General features: G+C 36.1%; 1 protein-coding gene across 1 annotated transcript; it reads left to right on the forward strand.

Moving 5' to 3' along the window:
* The first annotated feature begins 3141 nt into the window (after positions 1 to 3141).
* Positions 3142 to 4700, forward strand: FKBP1C (FKBP prolyl isomerase family member 1C). The gene has a single exon (NM_001395980.1). The coding sequence runs from the start codon at positions 3230 to 3232 to the stop codon at positions 3554 to 3556; it is 327 nt and encodes a 108-aa protein (NP_001382909.1). The 5' UTR covers positions 3142 to 3229; the 3' UTR covers positions 3557 to 4700.
* Positions 4701 to 4922: the final 222 nt, after the last annotated feature.

Here is a 4922-nt window from a genome sequence, read left to right on the forward strand (position 1 = left end):
TAAAGGGCATAATACTTGTCTCTTAAATTTTAGGACTAACAAGTTCATTTCTGAATCAATGTACTAGAGTCATTGAGTAATACTATCCTTCTCGGAGTCTAAAATTTGAAAGTCAACCAGTAGTAATGATAATGGATGATAAAACTAAACCCACAATTTTCTCTATGATAGATCCACTGAGTGTGTGCAGTTGAGCCCAACCATGCAAGCATTCAGTACATTGCAGGTGACAAAGTACTCGAATTAAAACTACTTCAATCAAAATGATAAAACAGTTTTGTATATTCAAAAGTCAGTTTCTCTGAAGGACCATTAAGGTTAATGGAAACAATACTTTAACATTAAAGAATAATATCTATGAGTTTTGGAAATATACTTTTGATAAGCTCTACCTCAAGAGCCTTATGAAATAAAATGAGAAAATAAATAATGTAAGGTATAATCATATAAATGATGTAAGTAAGTGGAATGCCACTAAACGGTGAATATACGTAAGTCATTAATTCACCAAACCAACTATGAGAGAAAGCAATTAAGGAAATCAAATAATGAAAAGTATATTTTCAGATTCGATTTGAAAAGCAAAATAACAAGTTGACAAGATGTTCTTAAACCTTCCTGGAGTCAACACAGAAATCCTTGTGCATCTACAGGTGGACACATGAATGGCAGAGTCCTTATATGCTCAGAAAATAAATGTAGGAATATTCAGATCTCTGTAACTTAAGACAAAATAGAATATCTCACCTAAAGACTGTAGTAAACCTCAAATTTGTTTCAATCTTATTTTTTTCGTTTTCCTCAACGGCTTTTTTCTTAGCTTGTTCTTTCAGTTTCCCTATGTGTAACATTTCTAATATATCAATCTCTTGCTCACTAAACTGCTTTTACCTTCTTCCTTCCTACTTTTATTATTTTCCTATCTTAAATTCTTCTTCAAGTTGTCAAAGGATAGTATCAAACGAAAAAAGTGTTAAAGTACTACATTTTAATATTGGTTTTAAAATATTTATTTGTTAACAAAATCACATGAAATAATATCAGTTTTGTATTATTAGTCAATTTAATTATTAATAATTGTGTCTTTGCTAAGATAACCCTGGATACAGATAAAATAACTCTCCACATCTTGAATTTTCTGTCAGAAAAACAACATACCTTAAGAATCATATTGTTCAAAATCCCAAGTTTTCAGGTAATAAGTACTATTGGCGTTATTGGTAAATAACCCAAATAAATTCCCAGTTGATATGCCTTCCTTCTGATTACATTTTGGAGAGCAGTTAATTCTTCAAAGAAGGAAACTTAACGAGACATTGTGTGTGTAATGGAAATGTGATGTACATGAGTTTATGCTTACAAAATAATCAATAACTACAATGTAAAATCAGCACTCAATCCTTGTAAGACCACAGTATGAAAATTTCTACTTTCCTTCAAAAAGGGTTTGTAAATGATTTTAAAAGAAGAAACAGCAGCCTCGACTCTTAGAAAACTTAACTAGATAAATTTGCACATTACAAGTCTTAAAACTAGAAACCATATTATTAACTGTGAAACTATATAATTAGTTTCTTTGTGAGCTTTCAATTTTTTGCTAGATAAAATTAAAACTGCCACCAAAAAATGAGGCCATTATGAACATGACAGGTCATTTGTTGAGAAAAGGGTTATGTAGAAATAGCATCTGATAATTTGTTGGAAATATTAGCATATAGATGGCTATGAAATGTGTGAAGTATTATCAGAAGAATTCTAATAAAAAATTTTTGCAGTGTAAGTCGACTATGGTTCTATTTCAAATGTAGTTAGGTTCTTAGCCCTAATGGCAAGCAGAGGCTACACTAAATGTATTTAACCTAAAGACAAGTTGATAAGAAATTTATAATTCCACTGTTTTTTAAAAATTACAAAAGTAAAAGGTATATACACATAACATCTACAGCAACAAAGAATGCAAAAACATTCTTTTCACATAGAAAGAGTTAAATATACATGCTTTCAAGAACAATAGCAGCTTCTCTTAAACTTTCTTAACTTACCTAGTGTTTTCTATCACTAAAAAAGCTGTATGTAAATCATTAAGTTTAGACTACTGAATCTATATCGTTCTTTGTAAACCAGACTCAAAGCATATTTCTTTCTAAGTTAACATGAACATAATAGAACACACAGAAAGAAAAATATAACTGTGAGTTTATATGCAAAGTACTGGACAACTTTCAAATATATACATCCTTCCTTTTTTCTTTAAAATATCTCTCTACACTGATACTTCTGGCAGAAACCTGACAATAGTGGCTACGCTAATCGTAGCATACTATTTAGATGGACAACAGTTAATTCATTTGAGCAAAAGTTTTAGAGATCTGTTTTAGACCTTTAAATCAAACTCCAGATATATACAATAGTATCCCTTATCCACAGTTTTGCTTTCTGCAGTTTCAGTTACCCATGGTCAATAGTGGTCTGCAAATATTAAATTGAAAGCTTCAGAAATAAACAATTCATAAGTTTTAAATTGCACACCATTCTGAGTAGTGTGAAGAAATCTCGAGCCATCCCGTTCCACTCTCACCTGACTGAGACGTGAATTATCCCATTGTCCACCATCTCCACACTGTATACCCTCCCTGTCTGTTAGTCACTCAGTAGCTGTCTTGGTTATCAGATCAATTGTAAGGTAGCTCAGAGCTTGTGTTTAATATGTACCCCTTATTTTACTTCATAATGGCCTCAAAGTGCAAGAGTAATGATGCTTTTATATTGTTATAACTGTTCTATTTTATTATTAGTCATTGTTTTTAGTCTCTTGCTGTGCCTAATTTATAAATTAAATTTTATCATAGGTATGTATGTACAGGAAAAAATATAGTATATATAGGGTTCTGTACTATCTGTGGTTCTGTGGTTTCAGGCACCCACTGGGGATCTTGGAACGTAGCCGCCACAGATAATGGGAGACCAAACACAAAGTTAACAAAGTTAACAAGGAAATGGTAACACTTCCAGTACGGGAAAAAAAAAAAAAAACCTATTTAGAGATTTTTAAGTGACTCATTCAACACACTTGCCCAGAAGGCACTAATATAGAATTTGTAGATTTTAAAAATACAGTATGGGCAGGCAACGCGCTGAGGGACTAGGCAGAGCCGTGGAACCGCCGCCAGGTCGCTGTCGGTCCACGCCGCCCGTCGCGCTGCCCGCCCGCTCGGCGTCGGCCGCCGCCATGGGAGTGCACGTGGAAACCATCTCCCCAGGAGACTGGCGCACCTTCCCGAAGCGCAGCCAGACCTGCGTGATGCACTACACCGGGATGCTTGAAGATGGAAAGAAATTTGATTCCTCCCGGGACAGAAACAAGCCCTTTAAGTTTATGCTAGGCAAGCAGGAGGTGATCCGAGGCTGGGAAGAAGGGGTTGTCCAGATGAGTGTGGGTCAGAGAGCCAAACTGACTATATCTCCAGATTATGCCTATGGTGCCACTGGGCACCCAGGCATCATCCCACCACATGCCACTCTCGTCTTCGATGTGGAGCTTCTAAAACTGGAATGACAGGAATGGCCTCCTCCCTTAGCTCCCTGTTCTTGGATCTGCCATGGAGGGATCTGGTGCCTCCAGACGTGTGCACATAAATCCATATGGAGCTTTTCCTGATGTTCCACTCCACTTTGTATAGACATCTGCCCCAACTGAATGTGTTCTGTCACTCAGCTTTGCTTCCGACACCTCTGTTTCCTCTTCCCCTTTCTCCTGGTATGTGCGTTTACCTAAACTATATGCCATAAACGTCAAGTTATTCATTTTACTTTTTCATTTTGGGGTGAAGATTCAGTTTCAGTCTTTTGAATATAGGTTTCCAATTAAGTACATGGTCAAGTGTTAACAGCACAAGTGATAAGTTAACGTTAGGATAGGAATTGGTGTTGAGGGGGTTGCAAGAATATTTTATTTTAATTTTTTGGATGAAATTTTTATCTATTATATATTAAACATTCTTGCTGCTGCGCTGCAAAACCATAGCAGATTTGAGGCACTGTTGAGGACTGAATTATTCTCCAAGTTGAGAGATGTCCTTGGGTTAAATTAAAAGCCCTACCTAAAACTGAGGTGGGGATGGGGAGAGGCTTTGCCTCCACCATTCCCACCCCACCCTCCCCTTAAACCCTCTGCCTTTGAAAGCAGGTCATGTTCACTGCGATGCTGGACACTACAGGTATCTGTCCCTGGGCCAGCAGGGACCTCTGAAGCCTTCTTTGTGGCCTTATTTTTTTTTTTTTTTTTTTCATCCTGTGGTTTTTCTAACGGACTTTCAGGAATTTTGTAATCTCATAACTTTCCAAGCTCCACCACTTCCTAAATCTTAAGAACTTTAATTGACAGTTTCAATTGAAGGTGCTGTTTGTAGACTTAACACCCAGTGAAAGCCCAGCCATCATGACAAATCCTTGAATGTTCTCTTAAGAAAATGATGCTGGTCATCCCAGCTTCAGCATCTCCTGTTTTTTGATGCTTGGCTCCCTCTGCTGATCTCAGAGTTTCCTGGCTTTTCCTCCCTCAGCCACTTCTCACCCCTTTGCTGTCCTGTGTAGTGATTTGGTGAGAGGAATCGTTGCTGCCCCCTTCCCCTAGCACCATATATGAGTCTCAAGTTTTATTATTGCAATAAAAGTGCTTTATGCTGGCTTTTCTCAAAAAATAAATAAATAAATAAATAAATAAAATAAAAATACAGTATGCACCTGTTCACCAAAAATCTATGGAAATAAAAAAATTAAATAAATAACTAAATATAAATAAAAATATGGTATGGAACCAGCCTAATTACTCATAGAACTGCTGTTTATGGTTTCTTTTGAATAAACATAAAAATTGAGACTCCCATCTTAAAACTTGAGAAAGTTACATTTGTCTTATCTGG

The sequence above is a fragment of the Homo sapiens genome, chromosome 6 (assembly GCF_000001405.40).
Source record: "Homo sapiens chromosome 6, GRCh38.p14 Primary Assembly".
Lineage (NCBI taxonomy): Eukaryota > Metazoa > Chordata > Mammalia > Primates > Hominidae > Homo > Homo sapiens.

What these genes read in the sequence shown, in the direction of transcription:
- FKBP1C (NM_001395980.1), top strand. Translation starts at nt 3,230, where the DNA reads ATGGGAGTGCACGTGGAAACCATCTCCCCAGGAGACTGGCGCACCTTC.